This window comes from Homo sapiens, chromosome 3 (genome assembly GCF_000001405.40).
Source record: "Homo sapiens chromosome 3, GRCh38.p14 Primary Assembly".
NCBI lineage: Eukaryota > Metazoa > Chordata > Mammalia > Primates > Hominidae > Homo > Homo sapiens.
In genome coordinates, this window is record NC_000003.12 from 98,593,888 (window position 1) to 98,614,715 (window position 20,828).

A 20,828-nucleotide genomic window follows, 5' to 3' on the forward strand; every position below is an offset into this window, starting at 1 on the left:
GGCTGGGAGGCTGAGGGCGGACTGGGGCGGAAATGTGGCAGAGATCCCAGTCCCGCTTACATTTTCAAACAGGATTTGCGAATACAGAGCCTGGCTCAGGATCTGTATAGACCCGCCCTTCGCCCTGGGTCCTGGTCCTCTAGAGTTTTTAGAGGGGATGGGCAGGCTGGGAAACTCTTTGCTGAAGGATGGTTTTCTAAAGAGAGTGGGAGAAGCTAGTAATGGACTCGGAAGAGAGTCGAGGAGAAGACTTTCTGTGATCGAGTCCACATCACAGTTCTGTCCTTAAGATTTCCCCAGGCTGGGGCCGGGCGCGGTGGCTCAAGCCTGTAATGCTAGCATTTTGGAAAGCCGAGGCGGTTGGATCACATGAGGTCAGGAGTTCGAGACCAGCCAACATGGTGAAACCCTGTCTCTACTAAAACTACAAAAAAATAGCCGGGCGTGGCGGCGTGCACCTGTAGGCTCAGCTACTCGGGAGGCTGAGGCAGGAGAATCGCTTGAACCCGGGAGGCAGAGGTTGTAGTGAGCCGAGATCGCACCACTGCACTCCAGCCTGGGTGACAGAGTGAGACTCTGTCTCAGAAAAAAAAAAAAAAAAAAAAGGTTTCCCCAGGCCTTGCTTCTATAGTGCCTACTTGATTATTTTAGAAAAAGGAAAAGCAACGTGACTGTTTTGGTTAACCAGTAGAAAATTCCTGACTTGGTGTGTTTTGGTGATTAACAAATAAGAATTTAAAAAATAGTTATTCTACTACTGTAGGGTGCTCCCAAATATTGCTCACGTTTAATACTTACAACAACTGCTACAAACTAGGCAAGGCAAATATCCACACTTCCTCCTACTCTGTCTCCCTTCCCCCACCCTTTAAAGAAATGAGGAAAGAAGCTAATAGATTTGACAGGCAGGTCTTTGTCTCCCCTGTAACCATACCACAGCTCCATGGTTCCTGGACGTAAAAGTGTGAGAACTATTGTCATGGGCTAATTTGTCCCATAAGTCTCCGGGATGATTTTAATTTCTAGTAGTAGATAATAATTTAAGCCACTGGTAGCTTTTCCCACAAGTGTTTTCTTTGTGGCAGGATGCACTGATGGAACTTCAATGGCTTTTGAGTCAGATCAATTGGCATCTTGTCCACACACAACTGTACCTGGCAGCTCTCACTGGGACATGATGTTAGCAAGGTGGGTGTGCTTGCCGAAGCCTCACCACTGAGAATCTGTGAAAAGTAAAGGCTTGGATTGAGAAGTGACTAAGCGACTTTTAGGGAAGAAAAACAATTAGCTTTTGGTCATAGTGCAACCTGCCAGGAGGCCAAGTTAGAAGTGGAGGAAGGGAAATAAGAATTGTCATTGTAGGAAGGGTTGATGGCCTCTACTGGATGCCTGTGATGGGGTTGGGCTGGGCCTGGTGATGATAAATGAACCTCATCAAATGAAAAGGAACCTCCCTGGTACGTTTATTTGTAAGAAACCCCCTCATTATTGCTCTAATTCTGCTAAAAATACCCATAAAGTTAGTAAAGCCCATAAAGTTAGTTAAAGCTAAGTAAGAACAGACTGTTTTGAACATTTGCCCGGTCACAAAGGCTGATCCTGAGCAAATTGCATACTAGATTCCAGGTTTCCATCCCTCTCATCCTTAGCCTCTCTATACGAAGGGCCTCACTCCTTTCTTCCTCTGGTTCCTAGCACCCTCCCTACTGGCAAACTGTTATTCAATGCTTAAGAAAGGCTTCAATAACTTTGTTAGTGTGAGTTTAAATCACCTTTCTGGAGGTTCAAATTGTTCCCAAGTGGGATACTTATATTTAAGTTGTATTTGTCGGTATGGGGGAAGAAAAAAAGACATCACCTATCTAAGTAATTTCTTACATCAGAAAACTAGTTGGGACAAATAAAAAGTTTCTAATAAGTTGTAGAAAGTAAAGTGTAAAGTAGAAGTTCTTGTCTGTTTTTTAGCTTAGTTTCTTGCATTGCTTTCCAACTATTTTTTATGTGACCCTATTGCAAAGATGATTCTGCCTAGCCTTATAGGTATTAGTACATAAACATCATTTTTCAAACTCCACATGCTTCTCAGAATCCTTACGAACTTTTTCCTAAAGCCCTGTTGAACATAACTTATTTTAGGCCTGCTGGTGCATGTTAGAGAGAGTTCTAATGTTTATCCCTCTGGTAGCTTTACTGCCTTCTAACAACACACACACACACACACACACACACACCTAGAATTCTCACTATTTTTACTAAACTATACTATTTTCAACAATTATAAAATTCTGAAAGCCAAAGTTAAGAAATGTATTACCAAATTCACTCAGTTCTGTTGCTTTCAGATAGATACAGAAACTCAGGCTAATTAGTAACAAAATATTGCTGAAAATCTGTGTTTGCCTTGGCATCCTTCTGCCCAACTCATCAGAAATTTTGGTGGGGTGATGGGAGGGGGGTGGTAGGATTACCAAGGAAGTAGAATTTTTAAAATGTTAATTCATTTTTTTCTCCTAGAATTTGTATTTTAAACTTTTAGGTCTATAGTAGCAAATGCTTACATAGATTATTAAAATAATTGGTTCTTAAAGCTGTTTATATTTATAGTCTAAATATCCAATGCAATTTAGTGTTGTCAACTTGCTTTTTCTTTAACTGGTGTAATTTTGAAATTATTTTTTCACAAAGGTATAGATACCATTTCAGGGAGGTTTTATGAAAGGGACTAACTCATGGTACCTATCCTTTCAGTCCCTGTGGCTTCTCCCTAATTCTTCCCTATAGTAATATTGATGTAATGTCTGGAGTTGCAGCAACCATTTTGTGACTAAGACTCTGAAAGTCCCATGTAAAAGTTTGCAGAGCAGTCAGAAAGAAGGAACCTTGGTCCTGATGACATCCATGAGCAAATGCACCAGCACTGGGCCACTAACCTTTGAACTTCTTGTTATATGAGAAAAAATAATTTAAAGAACTGTCTGCCAGGTGTTTTGTTGCAGCTTAAGCCTTTCTGATATAGACTGTTTCCCACCTTGGTTCAAATACCTACCATGGGACCAACCAATAAAAAATAGCCATGAGTGAAAAAATGGGATCATGTAAGAACATGGACTCTCCCGTTAGTGTTTTGGGGTAGGGAAGTTGGAGATATCATGTGGGGTATCATTTCTAGACAAAGGGAAATGTGATGAGCAGAAAGTACCATAAATGCCCACCAGAGGGAGAAATTTTTGAATATGATTCTAGGGTTTTGAGCCTACATATCTAAGATTAACAAAAATAGGGAACTTAGAAAGAAGAACTAGCAGGTACAGAGCAGGAGTTTATAGGGAGGACAGGAGATAATCAGTTTGATAGAGACAATTCTTAATAGAAGTATTCCCACCAGTTTAGCTAAAGCTCTCTGGCTGTTCCATTTGCCCAGATACAGGAGCTTCCTGGCCACTCCATCCCTTCAGTATAAAATGCTCTTACCATCCATTCTCAGAGTCTTAAAAATGTTATGGGCCAACCAAAAAGGTGGGTCATTTGAGAAGATGCTGATGACAAAGTGTTGGGATATATATAGGTGTTCCTCCTGTGAGGCAATCAAAGAACAATGGGTATTGGGTACATGTTTAATGGTCCTCATCAGGCAGCAATAAGAAAGATATTTAATATTGTTCCTGTACCTGCCTCCATGATGCTTTCAGGGCACTTGCAACCAGTAGTACTTGCTCAAGAAACATAAAGCTACTTCCATTCATGTCATTGAGAGTTCATCTCCTCTGGTGGACTGGAATACTCTCTTGAAAAATACACATTTAAGACCTTTTACTTTAGACCCATATCAATATCCATGTAAACTTAGGAGTCAAAAATCAATTCCCTTTGTTCTCTGCATCTATCTAGAGTGATCTTTTCCCCCATGTCTAACTCTTTAGCCTGGGCCAGGACCTATTTCTAGAATTAATGAGGTTGAATGAATGCAGGAGGAGGGAAAAGCACATTTGAAATATTCTCTTACTGCAGACTTACTGCAGACATGTTGAACTTGAGACATTAGTAGCTATATAAATGGAAACATGAGGCCAGAAAGGGATGAGGGCTGGAGAGAGAGATTTTTGAGATACCCATAGTGCTGGGATGATGAGCTCATTCAGAAGAACTCTTACAACTAAAAGATAAAGGGCTTGATGTCAGAACATGGGACAACAGTCACATTAGGGACAAAAAGCAAGAAGTCTTGGGGCCTTGAGTGTGATGTCACAGAAACATGGAGGGAGACAGCACCAAAGAGGAGAGTGGGGTCAGCAGGCAGAAAGCTTTACTCTCTGATCATCCAGAGAACAGAAGTACCGAGTAGAGGCTATGGGAAATAATGAAGTCATTGGCTGCCTTTGAAACAAGAGTTTCGGAAAACCTGTTGGGGTGGCAGCTGAAATGAAAGAACATATAGAACAACAGTAGCTCAGGGTGGGAAGTTGTGATGTTGATCTTTTATTTGGAGTGGAAGACTAGAGCATGGTTCTGTTTGTTTTTGCTTAAGGAAGTGAGGCAGCAGAGAGAACTAAAAATACAAGAATATGTGCCACTCAGAGACCTCATGGTCAGGCTCAAGGTTTGTTTTACTTTCTTCTCTTCCCAAATTGCACCATTCAGGCTGCATTCAAGGAGTATAAAGGTCAAGGGGAATGAGAAAGAGGATTGAGCAAAGGAATAGCCATTTGGGGTTCTAATATATGTACCTTCAACGGATCTGGCTTGCTTTCTCCAAATATTTGTCCTCACCTTCATTCTAACCAGCACTCAGGCAGCCTTCCTGTGTAAAACAGGAACTCAACTATAACTGAAGGGTTATGAGAACTTTGTAGGGTAACTGACCAACTTTGTTGGTCAAACTGAGTCCTGAATCGTTTATTCTTTCTATAGACATTTACTTAGCACCTTCTATGTGTTAGGTTCCAATCAACCCCATAAGGTAGACAGGACCACTATTGTCACTACTCACATGATAGATTAGAAAACTGAGGCTTAGATGGGTTTAGTGATAGACCAAGTCTAGACCTTGTCTCTAAGGCTCTATTAATGTTACAACATTGCTCTTCATCTGACCCAGAGTCATTGTGTGCTAATACAATGTCAATAACATTTACTAAACACCTGCACCTTACTAGGAACTTCAGGACACACAGAGGAGCTGCCAGCCTTTCCCATCCTCCTAGGAAAAAAGGATTCCATTTGAGCCACCAAATAATCTCTTCAAATGAACTATTACATAGGCATTTGTAATAGTTGTGGGACCATGACAGTGACCTTGCAAGCAGAAGCCAGACATATCATTCTTAATAATCAATAGGAAGAAATTAGGATTGTTATGTGATCTTTAATATATACATACTTTTTGAGACGGAGTCTCGCTCTGTTGCCCAGGATGGAGTGCAGTGGCACGATCTCAGCTCACTGCAACTTCTGCTCCCAGGTTCAAGCAATTCTCCTGTCTCAGCTTCCCAAGTAGCTGGGATTACAGGCACACGCTGTCAAGCCTGGCTAATTTTTGTATTTTAGTAGAGACGGGGTTTCACCGTGTTGCCCAGGCTGGTCTCGAACTCCTGAATTCAGGCAATCCACCTGCCTCAGCCTCCCAAAGTGCTAGGATTACAGGCATAAGCCACCACACCCAGCCGTGATCTTTAATTTAATTTTTAATAGAAACATTAAAAACTCAGTTACTGTAGGTTGTAGATGAAAAACAGTAAAACTACTTTTGTTGGTGCATTGTAATTTAAAACATTAGAAACATTGAGAATTAATGTGTTTTATTTTTTCACACTTCTATAAAGTAGTTTGAACAGTGCCTCCCTTCTTTTTCTTATTGTATAACTGAAGATATGAAACAAGTATCTTTTCTATGCCTCAGTGAACTGTCAGACTTTCTAAGTCTGGATCAGCTTTCAACATTTGATCCTTTGTGCCTTCAGTGTTGCGAAATATTCTAATAGTTTCTTTAACGTGAAATGGGTTTTTTCTTTTTTTTTTTTTTCCAGCATCACTTCCTCTGAAATATCTTCATCCAACACAAACACTTTCTTCACATATGTCAGTAAGTTTGCCTTCACTAAGTTCCTGTGATGGTTAATTTTATGGGTCAAATGTACTGGGCTATAGTGCCCAGATATTTGGTCAAACACTATTCCAGATGTTTTTGTGAGGAAATTAACATTTAGGTTAGTAGACTTGAAGTGAAGCAGATTGTCCTCCAAAATGTAAGTGGGCCTCATCCAATCAGTTGAAGGTCTGAATACAACAATAGACTGACTTCCCCTGAGCAAGAAGGAATTTTGCAAATTCTGTCGCCAGTTGGCCTTCGGACCTGAACTGCTACATCAGTTACTCCCTGGATTTATTCTGGCCCACCCTGCAGATTTTGGACTTTCCAGCCTCCATAATCCTTAAAATCAATCAACTAATTCCTCTCTGTCTCCATATATGTAAACACATATACATTCTGTTGGTTCTGTTTCTCTGGAGAACCTTGACTAATCCCGTTCTTCTGGGTGCATATCTAAGTGCCTCAAAAGGCAACAATGTTAACATTGCCCTGGTTAGCTATTTATTCAGTAATTCCATTTAGGTTCAACTAGAATTTCACTTCCAGTTTTGTTGCTTTCTGTTTCTTTGCTGCACTTTCATCTTTGTTGACCAATTCCTTCTTTCAATGATCCATTTTTGTAAAATGTCACATGCGTTTATCATGGGGCAACAAAGAAACAACATAGCTACACACTTTGCATAAATTGTGCATAAACTGAATAACAGATGGGCACTGACCAATCACCAACAGACTTTGAAAAAAAGTAGCATGATTGGTCGTGAACATGATGCATTTATGTTATTTATGTAGTGATTTGTGGACTGAAGAGCTAGCACCAGATTTGTACTTTACACAACTTTACACAATTACCCACAGTTATCTAATGTGGTAACTGAAATTTGAACTCCATTGGGGAGCTGGTGATATTTAACCAAATCATGATAACGAAATGTAATTTGTGCCTCTTGGAATCATGCAATGCCATGACTGCCTATATTTACTTTTGAACTGATGGCCTAGGTTCATAATAAAGAAGTCTCTACCTACCATGAAGGACCATGTACCAAAGAAAACAAGGTTCTCAACAGAATCAGCAGCGTCTCCATAAAAATTCTAGTATTTTCTTAACTTGAATTCTTAAAATAATGGAGACTTATTTTTCTGCCTATTTTCAGTGAATAATTGACACTTGTAGAATCACATAAAAATATACAAACAGAAGAAATGGTTTGTGGCAGAGACAACTAGTTGTCCAACAAAAATCCATTTTTCTCTTCTTACTTTAATAATCATTCTCCAGGTTTCGTGGAGCATATAGCAGCTTCAGCTAGCAGCTATAGTAGAGCAGAATGCTTCCACTACACTCATATCCCCTCTTGAAGCTTATGATCAAATCCTGGCCAGTAGGATGTGAATAAAACTATTGTGTGTCACTTCTGAGTTTATTCTTAAAAGGAATAAATGTGCTTCCTCTGGCCTTTTCGCTACTGGCTAGGATACAGCTGTGAAGGCATGAAGTGGAACAGCCACTTTGAACCCAGAAATAAAATCTGTGTGTTGAGTGAGGATGACAGAGCAACACTATGCATTTTGGACTATGACTCTGGAAAGTTCAATCAGACAGAATGAACTTCACTTTTGTTTTAGCCACTGAATTTTGGGGTCTTTTGTTATAAACACTAAATTATAACCTAATAAATACGTGAATGGAATCCTTTCTGAGAATAACCAGTAGCCTAACGTAGTAACATAGGGAGTTTATGCACATCACACTAAATAGTGGATGGATTATCTCTATTCTAACTTTCACTTAAAGATGACAGGAAGAAAGACTGAGGGCCTCAAATGTAATGGCATCCCCTTATGAGGGAATAAGCTGAGCGCGGCCTACTGAAGACAATTAATGGTCTAGTGCAACCAACATAGAGAGGATGGATAAAACCTGACTCTTGCAGAGTGGATGTGATGTTTTCCACTTAGCATTTGTTGTGCACTAAGGCTATGAACCTCCATTCTTAACAACAAGCTGTATTGGGAAGGGGGGCCTCCAATATTTAAATTGAATTTCTAGGAGCTGCTGGGGTCTAACCAGAGAGACAGCGTTTATGGCAATACTGTGTTTATAGAATTTGTGTCAAAAATAAATTTAAGGTGGTACAAACCAGTTTAGTCATCGACATGAATATAATTTATCCAACTACAACCACTGAAATACGTGCATAATGAAATTTGGCTCTTTTTTACAGAGCACATTAGAAAACATGATACATCAACAAATGTGTGACACTCGTGTGTACACTAGAGGGCACTCACCTACTAATTTGCAAACCAGCATCTAGAGCTTGGGATCTTGTTAAAAGTGTATGTTTCGAGGCTGTAGAGGAGCCTGTGAACCTGCTTTTTAATGGGATACTCTCTAAGAGCATAGTTAAGGGAATGGCTCATGGAGTCTGATGGCCAGGGTTTGAAAACTGGCTTTGCCATTTGTGAACTTAGGCAATTAGGTAACCTCCCTGTGCCTGGATTTCCTCATCCACTGGATGAAGTTAGAAATAACATTTCCCTCTTAGGGTAGTTGTGATGATTAGATAAGTTAACTTAGAACACAACCTAGTGCCTAGCAATATATATTAGCTCTATTATTATAAGTATTATTTTTAATAATCATATTTATTGATTGTATAGCAGGGGACCTTAGAGTCACTCTTGAGAAATACAGAACTATTTTAAAAATTTAAAAAGGGGCCAGGCACAGTGGCTCACCCTGTATTCCTAGCACTTTGGGAGGCCAAGGTAGGAGTTTTGCTTGAGGCCTAGAGTTCGAGAACCCTGTGAGCAACGTAGAAAGACCTCAACTCTACTAAAAATTAAATAAATAAAGTAGTCAGATGTGGTGGTGTACGCCTGTAGTCCCAGCTTCAGGAGGCTGAAGCAGGAGGATCGCTCGTGTCCAGGAGTTCAAGGCTGCATTGAGCTATGATTGCTCCACTGCACTCCAGCCTGAGTGACAGAGACTCTGACTCAATCAATCAATCAATCAATAAAGAAGGATCCTCTTAATAGTGAGTACCCAGTCAGGCAAAGACCTCATGTTCCGACTCTTAGCTACAGTGATAATGGAATGGCAGCAACAAAAATTGCAGAATAGAAAATGGAGCGAAATGAGGCTGGTCTTTTTATGCTCTGTTAAAGAACTTGTACATTATTCATAAGTCCATAGAAATCCATCAAAAGGCATTAAAGCAGAAGATGGCTTAATGAGGTTTATATCTGAGATAGATTATTCTGGAAGTGAAATGGGGGGGTGGGAGGCAAGGGAAGAGAGTGGAGGCAGTATATCGGGGAGGTCAGGTAGATGTAATGCTGCTCCTTTTCCAACCAAGAAAGGGTTTCCAGAAAACTTTAGGATTATCCACAACAGTGACTCACAATAATTTGAACATTATAAATCCTTCCTTCTTTGGAGTTCAAACCAGAGCTCAAGCTTGTAATAAAGTACTCTGCCTCAACCACACCCCGCTGTTTTATACAAACATATAGGATAGAGTACCTGGCAGGCATCCTCCCTAGGTTTTGAGCAGCAGATCCTGCAAGGAGAACTCCTGTGAACTATGCAGTCACCAGAGAAAAACTGGACTGTTCTCTGTAGCACCAGAAGCTGAGAAGGGGGTACATCCAGCATCTCACCTGGTGATCCTGTAGATGTTGGGGTAGATTTTCAGGAACTGTGGCAGCTTTGAAGTGTTTGACCTAAGAAATACTGAAATAAACTTCAGTTCTGCTTATCATGCCAGTGGCTAGAATGGGAGGAGCTGCCACAGGGGTGGGAGAGGCCAGAGGAGGAGAGGTGATCTAGGGTTCTTATCTAGGGTTCTGCTCTCCTTGACTCTGCCTAGAATTCTGATGCCATTCTGATACCATTAAATTATCAGCACCAGGGAAAATAACAATATGAGTATTTTCTCTAGTACCTGAGGAGTGAGTATGAATGATTGCATAAGAAAGGAATTCATTCCTGGGGGTCCCTCTGCCAGGAGCAGTTCCTACTTATGTACTCAGCCAAGTTTTATGTATCACCCGCATTTCTTTTTTTTTTTTTTTATACTTTAAGTTTTAGGGTACATGTGCACAACGTGCAGGTTAATTACATATGTATACATGTGACATGCTGGTGCGCTGCACCCACTAACTCGTCATCTAGCATTAGGTATATCTCCCAATGCTATCCCTCCCCCCTCCCCCCACCCCACAACAGTCCCCAGAGTGTGATGTTCCCCCTCCTGTGTCCATGTGTTCCCATTGTTCAATTCCCACCTATGAGTGAGAATATGCGGTGTTTGGTTTTTTGTTCTTGTGATAGTTTGCTGAGAATGATGATTTCCAATTTCATCCATGTCCCTACAAAGGACATGAACTCATCATTTTTTATGGCTGCATAGTATTCCACGGGTATCACCCACATTTCTAATCTTTCAGCTGAAAACATACAAAATGTAAACAGTGAAACAGCTCTTCCTTCTGTTAGAGTTTTTGAGATTGCAGAATCATGGGATATTGTCTTAGACTGTTTAGAGCTAAAAGGAACCTACTCCAGTGGTTCTCAGACTTGATTTAGTATGAGATCTCTTTAAATAAAATCTTATGAAGAAGTCCAATTCCTATGTGAACAGAAAGCAGAGCTGCTTTTGTTGCAGGAGTGTTCTGGCTGGGCAATGACTCTCCTGTTTGTCAGCCTCTAACACAGGATTATCTGAATCACTTCTTTGAACCTCTAGGACCAAGAAGAGCTAAGTCTGAAAGTCATGATTAAATGAATTCCTCCATTTTACAAAGGACAAAAATGAGTCCCAGAGGGTTAACAATTAATTTAGTAGAGTGAAGTAGAGTGAGAGACCCTTAGGGAGGGTGCATAGAAATAAGCTGAAGGTCACTGGTTCAAATTAATGGTAGAGAATAGAGATTAGAGATATTTAGGATCTAGGCTCACCGTATCCTCCACCTCCCAGGTTCAAGCGATTCTCCTGCCACAGCCTCCTGAGTAGCTGGGATTATAGGCATGCACCACCAAGCACGGCTAATTTTGTATTTTTAGTAGAGATGGGTTTTCTCCATGTTGGTTAGGCTGGTCTCAAACCCCTGACCCCAGGTGATCCACCCACCTCGGCCTCCCACAGTGCTGGGATTACAGGCATGAGCCACCACGCCTGGCCAAGAAGAAGGTTTAATTTAGATCTAGAGAAGGATTTCCAATAGAAATGGATACAAAACTTTGCAACTTGGAAATCACTGACCTGGAATCTGTTCAATGTAGCAAAGCTGCATATCTGTCTAGAGAGAATGAAAACTAGTTTTAATTACAGCCTTATATTCAGGTGGAGACTATCAAACAGCTGTTAGTCACCATCATCTTTGGCATTATCAAACATCCATTAAAGGTCTTTACAAGTTAGACACAAAGGCGCTTTTCTTTCTGGACACAGTTTTTGCAGATCCATAGTTTAGACAGACAACAACATGGTGATTTTCTGATGACTTATGGGAGGAATATTACCCAGTTCCAAACTTTTTCTCTTTCCACTCTGTGTTGAAAATTAAACTCAAAACTCACTTGGTTCAGGAAATGTCTACCCACGTGACTCTGCTTGCCATTGTAGCAACTTTTATTCTTAATTTACTTTGTTGAACCTCTGTTCCTCACCCATAAGATAGCAATAAGAAAATTTCTCACTGTTTTTGTATGAAAAAAACGAAACAACCTATCTTAGCTGTTTAGCACAGTGCCTGACACTTAGCAATTATCTAAAAACTTTTAGTTTCTCCTCTGATGTGAATCACTGATGACTTATTAATTTGACTCAGTCAATTTTTTTTTTTTTTTGACAGCGTCTCGCTCTGTCGCCCAGGCTGGAGTGCAGTGGCGCAATCTTGGCTCACTGCAACCTCTGCCTCCCAGGTTCAAGAGATTCTCCTGCCTCAGCCTCCCGAGTAGCTGGGACTACAGGCATGTGCCACCACACCCAGCTAATTTTTGTATTTTTAGTAGATACGGAGTTTCACCATGTTGGCCAGGATGGTCTTGATTTCTTGACCTTGTGATACGCCTGCCTCGGCCTCTCACAGTGCTGGAATTACAGGCGTAAGCCACCGCGCCTGGCTGACTCAGTCAAATATTCTATCAAAATAATAAATTTTCTTATTATTCCTATCTTACCGGTGCATAACAGAGGTTCAGCAAAGTAAATTAAGAATAAAAGTTGCTACAGCAGCAAGTGGAATCAGGTGGGTAGACATTTCCTGACCTGTTAAGTTTTGAGTTTAATTTTCAACACAGAGGGGAAACAGAAAAAGTCTGGAACTGGCTAATGTTCCTCCCATGAGTCGTCAGAAAATCGCCATGTTGCTGTCTGTCTAAACTATGGATCTGCAAAGAATTACAAAAAGATCAAATTTCTCTTTATCTTCCCATCTTTTCTTTTAGAATCCACTCTAATTTCTAGGCCCTGTTACTTTTTGTTTCATCCATTCCTCCCTTTTTTCTTTTATTCTGGAATAATAACAACAATGTTAACTGATGATATAAAGAAAGTGGAGACTAAAGTTGATACCCATATTCAACACTGTAGTTTATCTTTAGTTACAAAGCTTTTAGAATTTCTTTTCCTAAAACATTCACATTTCTTTTTCTTTTTCTTTTCTTTTCTTTTTTTTTTTTTTGGGGGGGGGGGACAGGGTGTTACTCTGTTGCACAGGCTGGAGTGCAGTGGTGCAATCTTGGCTTACTGCAACCTCCGCCTCCCAGGTTCAATTGATTCTTCTGCCTCAGCCTCCTGAGTAAGTGGCATTATAGGTGCCCACCACCACACCCAGCTAATTTTGTAGTTTTAGTAGAGATGGTGTTTCTCCATGTTGACCAGGGTGGTCTTGAACTCCTAACCTTAGGAGTTTGCCAGGCTCGGCCTCCCAAAGTGCTGGGATTACAGGTGTGAGCATCGTGCCCAGCCAACATTCACATTTCTAATGCTTCTTTCATCTTTAGGTGGTTAGAAAACATCTTTTATCTTTAGTTAATAAATTCTATAGCTTTGACCAAGGGTAAGTATCTCTGAAGATAAACTTATGGTCAATTCAGATGAGCAAAACTTTACCCATGTTATTCAAGTGGAAATTCTAGAACTGAAAAATTCAATATCTGAAATGAAAAGTTTGAAGACGCACTTAACAACAGATTCAAGATTTCAGAAGTCTGGAGATTGAGGTTCTTGAGATTGAGGACAAATCAATAGAAATTATCTAATCAATATAATAGAGAAGAAAAAAAGATTGAGATAAGAATGGACAGAGCCTCAATGACGTGTGGGACAATATCAAGAGATCTATATATCCTTGTAGTCACAGAGAGAGAGACAGAAATGGGGAAATGGGGCAGAGAAAATATTTGAAGACATGATGGCTCTAATCCCTCCAAATTTGGTGGAAAACATCAGTTTACAAATATAAGAAGCTCAACAAACACCAAGAAGTATAAATACAAAGAAAATCACACTTTGGAATATTATAGTCAACCTCATGACCACCAAAGATAAAGAGAAAAGCTTGGAAGCAACCAAACATGAAGGACACATTCATACAAAAAGAAAAATAAGATGAACAATGGTTGACTTCTGATGGAGGCCAGAAGACAATGGAATGACACACCCAGAGTCCTAAGAGAAAAACAAATCAATCAACCCAGAATTCTATATCCAGTGAAAATATTCCTCAAAAATTAGGGTAAAATGAAGACTTTTTTTCAGATTTAAAAAAGTGGAAGGAATTAGTCACTTTCAGACTATAAAAAATGACTTTTTTTCATAATATTTTTGAAAAAACAACCAAATGATTAAAGCTAAAACAACAAAAATGTGTGACTGATTTCATAACATATGTGTGTATGTATATATATATATACATATATATAATGACAACAATAGCACAAAGGATGAGGGAGGAGGCATACTGGATTATTCTGTTGTAAAGTTCTTAACTGTATATAAAGTAACTGTATATATACAGTATATACTGTATATATACTGTATATATACAGTATATACTGTATATATAACAGATGATTATACTTAGGATAATAGTATTTACTTGAATACAAAGTATATACTGTATATACAAAGTATATACAGTATATACAGCATATACTGTATATATACAGTATGTACAAAGTATATACAGTATATACCTGGTATATATACAAGTTATATACAGTATATACAGCATATACCTGGTATATATACAAGGTATATACAGTATATACAGCATATACCTGGTATATACTTTGTATTCAAGTAAATACTATTATCCTATATTATATACTGTATCCTATATATACAGTATCTATACTTTATGTATACTGTATACATACTGTATGTATACTGTATAGATACAGTATAGATACTGTATCGATACTGTATCGATACAGTATCGATACTGTATCGATACTGTATCGATACTGTATCGATACAGTATCGATACTGTATCTGGATACAGTATTGATACTGTATCGATACTGTATCGATACAGTATCTATACTTTATATATACTATATATACTGTATATACTTTATATATACAGTATATATAAAGTATATAGTATGTACAGTATATATGGTATATAACTGTATATACAGTATATAACTGTATATAATGTAACACAATACTAATTCTAAGTAGATTATGATAATTTAAGGATTAATACTGTAATCACTAGAACAATCACTTTAGAAAACAAACGGCTAAATACATAGTAGATAAATGAAGATAGAATACCAAAAACAATTTGATTAATTCAAAAGAAGGAATAGAGGAGTAAAGACATGGAAGAAACAGAAATCAAATAGCAAGATGACCCTTCTCAATCATTTCAAATAGTAGAATGGAACACTCCCTTTTCTGAATCCCTTATCATTCTCACAAATTTTTTTTACATTATACCTTGCATGATAAGTATTTGTTTATTATTTTTTTCCTCCTACTAAAGTTCCTCGAGGATTAGTACTGTGGTAAAATAGAAGAAGAGATGAAAACTATGCAGACCTTCAAATTCACTAGCAATTCAATTTAAGGGTCTTCTAGAAGTCTTGTTTGCTCCTATTTGGATAAAAAACCATAAGTAGCCAAGAGTAGGTTCAAGCAATTTTACAATTTCTTGTCATATTTCAAATAATTTTTTTGCCTCCTGACCCATTCATTGATCTAATCATTTCCACATAGTCCCAACTGATCAAGAGGTCACCATAAGCTACATCTAAATCAGATAGCAAAGAGGTTTCTTATTGATGAGGGCCAATTCCAATTAGACATAGTTGCTTTAATGTCAGCCATGGGTATTGTATGGGAGTGGGAAGTGACAGCATGACTGGTGTATATGATGATCTCAATTTCAGGTGTGATGATGCTAATGTTTACTGTGACCAAAATTCCAGAACAAATCCTATAAGTATGTGCTTAGTTGTCAGACATGTGTTCAAATCTGGGAATCAGGAAACAGATGATTATACTTAGGATAATAGTATTTACTTGAATTAGCATGGAAGTTCCTAGAAACAGTCTTATTCAAAAGTTTATCAGTATTTTAGTGTCCATAATGATTCTTCAGATGATGAGATAAAACTTGCTAATTTTGGTCCAAGAGTAAGTGAACTCACTCTATTATTATTATTGATTGTTCTAGCAAGTGCTCCCTAGAGAAGTAGTTTGTAAATAAACACTTTGGAAAAAGTAATGTTTTTATTTGTAGCCTCGATAACCTAGGTATAGATCTATTGAATGTTTTATCAGTAGAAGTTCTTTTTTAGTCCCTTAATTTTCATGCCATATTTTAAAAATCAAAAGAAATGAATTTGCTATTGACTACATAGAAATTTTTAGAATGAATTGATCCTCCTTAAAGCTTACTAAGATGAAAAACTAACTCTAAAGTCATAACCAAATGTTATACAATGTGAGAAAATCAGAATACCCAGAACTAAAACCAGAAAATTAGTATTCGTTTCACTCACACTCAAATATCCTTTTACTCAGTGTCTAGTTCCATTACATTTTTCAAAAATTCTGCCACAGAAGCAGCCAATAACTCTATCAATGTTCATTATCAGGCTTCTGATCAGAGGAGTATCAAGAAGTCATTTTCTAATTCCATTTAAAAAAATAAAGCAAATAATTTTCCTTGAAATTTAATTTGCTCTTGAGAGTCTGATTTTTAAAACCTTATAATCATATGACTCAATGTTCAAAATATGAAATCATCTAAATGTTATGCTTTTCTCTAAAAACACAAAAAGGATAGATGCAAATATGAAAAACAACTCATTTTCATCAAAAGAAGAAAGGGATTACTAAAAACAGCATGAATGTTTGCTTTTTTTTTGACACTACAAGTCTCACTTTCTTTGAACTCCTTTTGTACTTACAATTAATGCAGTTTATAAGTTACTTTTGATTTTTACACATAACAGATTTATTAATAATTTTATGAAGATGTAATTCACGTACTACACAATTCACCCATTTAAAATATCTAAATATCTGTTAAGTCCATTTGTTTTATGGTATAGTTTAAGTCCATCGTTTCTTTGTTGACTTTCTGTCTTGATGACCTGTCTGGTGCTGTCAATGGAGTATTGGAGCCCCCCACTATTATTGTGTTGCTATCTCATTTCTTAGGTCTAGTAGTAATTGTTTTATAAATTTGGGAGCTCCAGTGTTTGGTGCATATATATTTAGGATTGTGATATTTTCCTGTTGGACTAGTCCTTTTATCATTATATAATGTCCTTCTTTGTCTTTTTTGACTGCTGTTGCTTAAAAGTTTGTTTTGTCTGATGTAAGAATGGCTACTCCTGCTTGCTTTTGGTGTCCATTTGCATGGAATGTCTTTTTCCATCCCTTTACCTTAAGTTTATGTGAGTCCTTATGTGTTAGATAAGCCTCTTGAAGATGGCAGATACTTGGTTGGTGAATTCTTACCCATTCTGCCATTCTGTATCTTTCAAGTGGAGCATTTAGGCCATTTATTAATACGTTCAACGTTAGTAATGAGATGTGAGGTACTATTCTATTCATTGTGTTATCTGTTGCCTGAATAACTTGTTGCTGCTGTTGTTGTTTTATTGTGTTTTTGTTTTATAGGTCCTGTAAGATTTATGCTTTAAGGAGGTTCTATTTTGGTGTATTTCAAGGATTTGTTTCAAGATTTAGAGCTCCTTTTAGCAGTTCTTGTAGTGCTGGCTTGGTAGTGATGAATTCTCTCAGCATTTGTTTATTCATTTATAAAGATTAGTTTTTCTGGATACAAAATTCTTGGCTGATAATTGTTTTGTTTAAGGAGGCTAAAAATAGGACCCCAATCCCTTCTAATTTGTAGGGTTTCTGCAAAGAAATTAGCCATTAAGCTGACAGGTTTTCCTTTATAGGCTACCTACTGGTTTTGCCTGACAGCTCTTAAGATTATTTTCTTTGTCTTGATTTTAGATAACCTGATGACTATGTGCCTAGGTGATGATCTTTTTGCAATGAATTTCCCAGGTGTTCTTTGAGCTTCTTGTATTTGGATGTCTAGATCTCTAGCAAGGCCAGGGAAGTTTTCCTCAAATATTCCCTAAAATAAGTTTTCCAAACTTTTAGATATCTCTCCTTTTTTGGGAACACCAATTATTCTCAGGTTTGTTCATTTAACATAATCTCAAACTTCTTGGATGCTTTGTTCATTTTTTAAATTATTTTTTCTTTGTCTTTGTTGGAGTGGGTTGATTCAAGAGCCTTGTCTTCCAGCTCTGAACTGTTTTCTTCTACTTGTTCAATTTTATTGCTGAGAATTTCCAGTGTATTTTGCATTTTTCTAAGTGTGTTCTTCATTTCCAGAAGTTGAGATTTTTTTTATTTATGCCATCTACTTCTCTGGAAATTTTTCCATCCATGTCCTGTAACATTTTTAAGATTTCTTTAAGTTGATATTCACCTTTCTCTGGTGCCTCCTTAAGTAGCTTAATAATCGACCTTCTGGGCCAGGCATGGTTGCTCATGCCTGTAATCCCAGCACTTTGGGAGGCCAAGGCGGGCAGATCATCTGAGGTCAGGAGTTTGAGACCAGCCTGGCCAACATGGCAAAACCCTATCTCTAATAAAAATACAATAATTAGCCGGGTGTTGTTGCGTGTGCCTGTAGTCCCAGCTACTCAGGAGGCTGAGGCAGGATAATCACTTGAAGCCGGGAGGCAAAGGTTGAAGTGAACCAAGATTGCACCACTGCACTCCATCCTGGGGGACACAGTGAGACACTGTCTCAATAAAATAAAATAAAATAATAAAATAAATCGACCTTCTGAATTCTTTTCCTGGCAATTCAGAGATTTCTTCTTGGTTTGGATCCATTGCTGGTGAGCTGGTATGATCTTCTGGGGGTGATTTAAAAAAAAAAAAAAAAAAAAAAAAAAAAAAAACCTTGTTTTGTCATGTTACCAGAATTGTTTTTCTGGTTCTTTCTTATTTGGGTAGACTATGTCAGAGGGTAGATCTGGGGCTCAAGGGCTGCTTTAAGATTCTTTTGTCCCACAGGGTGTTCCCTTGATGTGGTGCTGTTCCCCCTTCCCCTAGGGATGGGGCTTCCTGAGAGCTTAACGGCAGTGATTGTTATTTCTCTTCTGGGTCTGGCCACCTAGTGGAGCTTCCGAGTTCTGGGCTGGTACTAGGGAGTGTTGGCAAAGGGTGCTGTGATGTGATCTGTCTTCAGGTCTTTCAACAGCAATAGTATAGGGAGGATACAAGTTTGCCCTAGGGTTGTCTGGATAAGTTTTGTGTTGGTTGGCCTCCAGCCAGGAGGTGGCGCTTACAAGAGAGCATCAGCTGTAGGTAGTATAGGGAAGGAGGATACAGGCTTTCCCTAGTGACACCTGGATAAGAATTTGGGTTTCTCAGGTGGTGGGTGGGGCCGTAGAGCTCCGGACAGATTATGTTCTTTATCTCTGGCTACCAGGGTGGGTTGAGAAAGACCATCAGGTTGGGGCAGGGTTAGGGGTGTCTGAGCTCAGACTCTCCTTGGGCAGGGCTTGCTGCAGCTGCTGTAGGGGATGAGGGTGTGGTTCTCAGTCCAATGGAGTTATGTTCCCAGGGCAATTATGGCTGTCTGTGCTGTGTCATGCAGTTCACCAGGGAAGTGGGGGAAAGCTAGTGGTTACAGGCCTTACCAAGTTCCCACACAGCCAGAAAGGCCAGTCTCACTCCCACCCTGCCCCCACAACAGCACCAAGTTTATAGCCAGGCGGCCAGTGAGCAGGGCTGAGAACTTGTCCCAGGCTGCAAGCCCCTCCACTGAGAACGAAAGCAGGGCTTTCAGGTTTCATGCCTCCCCGCCTGCCACAGCTTCTGTGCTGAGTCCGCACTCTCAGTTCCTCCCTTTCTCCGGGTTCCGTCCCAAAAACTTCACATTGGGTTGAAATTGTTACAAAGCTCAGCTGAAAGTTTCCTTCTCCCTGTGGTCTTTCCCCAATTTCACAGGCAGCCCTCCCTAAGGACCCCTGTGAGCAAAGTCAGAAATGGCTTTCCTGGGGACCGAGAGTGCCCACAGTGCTCTTCCTGTTGCTTAGAAGTAGAGACCCCTGTATTTCACTGGCTCTCTAAATTTGTCTCAGCTCCAGGTAAGGTCAAATACTTCTCCCATGATTTGGGCCTTCAGGTTCCCCAGTGAGGATGTGTGTTTGGGGGCAGAGCAGATGATCCCCCTTTCACACTTTCACACTTTGGGCACTCACAGTTTTTCAGCTGTCTCACGGAACCTGCAGCGCCAATCCACTTCCTTTACAGAGTCTGTGGATTCTCTCGGCACTCCTGATACATTCCTGTGGTAGTTCTTAGAGCAAAAGTTCGCAGTGTGAGTCTCCACATGCTGCTCTGTCCATCCAAGTGGGAACTGCAAGTTAGTCCTGCCTCCTATCTGCCATTTTTTTGGTACCATCATTTTTAAATATATTATAATTGAAAGGAACTGGTAAAGAAAACATAGGATTTCTCTGCATTATTTCTTACAACTACATGTTAATCACAATTATGTTAAAATAAAATACAATTTAAAAAACTCCTAGCAAAGTAGGGATAGGTTAGAACTTCCAAATTTGATTTAAAAAAATAGTTCTAAATACATACAACAAACATTATACTTCATGTGAAAATATTAAAAGTTTTTCTTCAATATCATGAACAAGACAAGTACCTGTTCTCACCACTTTTATCCAGCACTCTATTAGAAGTTCTAGCTAGTGCAATAAAGCAAGATAATGACATAAAAATTATAAGATCAGGAAAAGAAGAATTAAAACTGTCAGTATTCACAGATAACATGGCTATACATGTAAAACTTCCAAAAAAAGGAGAGATAATTTTTTAATTAATAGATGCATTTGCTAAGATATTGGATGCAGAGTCAATACATAAAAATAAATTCTATATGCTAGAAAAAAATTTGAATATGTCATTTTCAATCTAATCAAATAACATTAAATCCTTCAAAGGTTCATGTCACCTCACCAGGTAAAGAACCACAGCCAACTGAGGGACTTGCTGAGGCAAAGGGAATATTGGAGGTAGAGTGGAAGAAGGTAGGTAGTTACAAATACCAGCTATGACCACATGACCAGTTACCAAAATCAGAACTATAATTGTCATATTTGCTCATTTTTGTTATAAATACATTTGTATGTGTGTGTACAAAGCAAATA

The 20,828-nt window shown here is 38.8% G+C and overlaps 3 annotated features.

Moving 5' to 3' along the window:
* Positions 213 to 262: an enhancer, noted in NCBI's record as "active region_20142". NCBI's record gives its function as "activates an Ori minimal core promoter by ATAC-STARR-seq in GM12878 lymphoblastoid cells {active_cell/tissue: GM12878}" and the evidence as "EXISTENCE:reporter gene assay evidence [ECO:0000049][PMID:35858748]".
* Positions 19,163 to 19,232: an enhancer, noted in NCBI's record as "active region_20143". NCBI's record gives its function as "activates an Ori minimal core promoter by ATAC-STARR-seq in GM12878 lymphoblastoid cells {active_cell/tissue: GM12878}" and the evidence as "EXISTENCE:reporter gene assay evidence [ECO:0000049][PMID:35858748]".
* Positions 19,543 to 19,692: an enhancer, noted in NCBI's record as "active region_20144". NCBI's record gives its function as "activates an Ori minimal core promoter by ATAC-STARR-seq in GM12878 lymphoblastoid cells {active_cell/tissue: GM12878}" and the evidence as "EXISTENCE:reporter gene assay evidence [ECO:0000049][PMID:35858748]".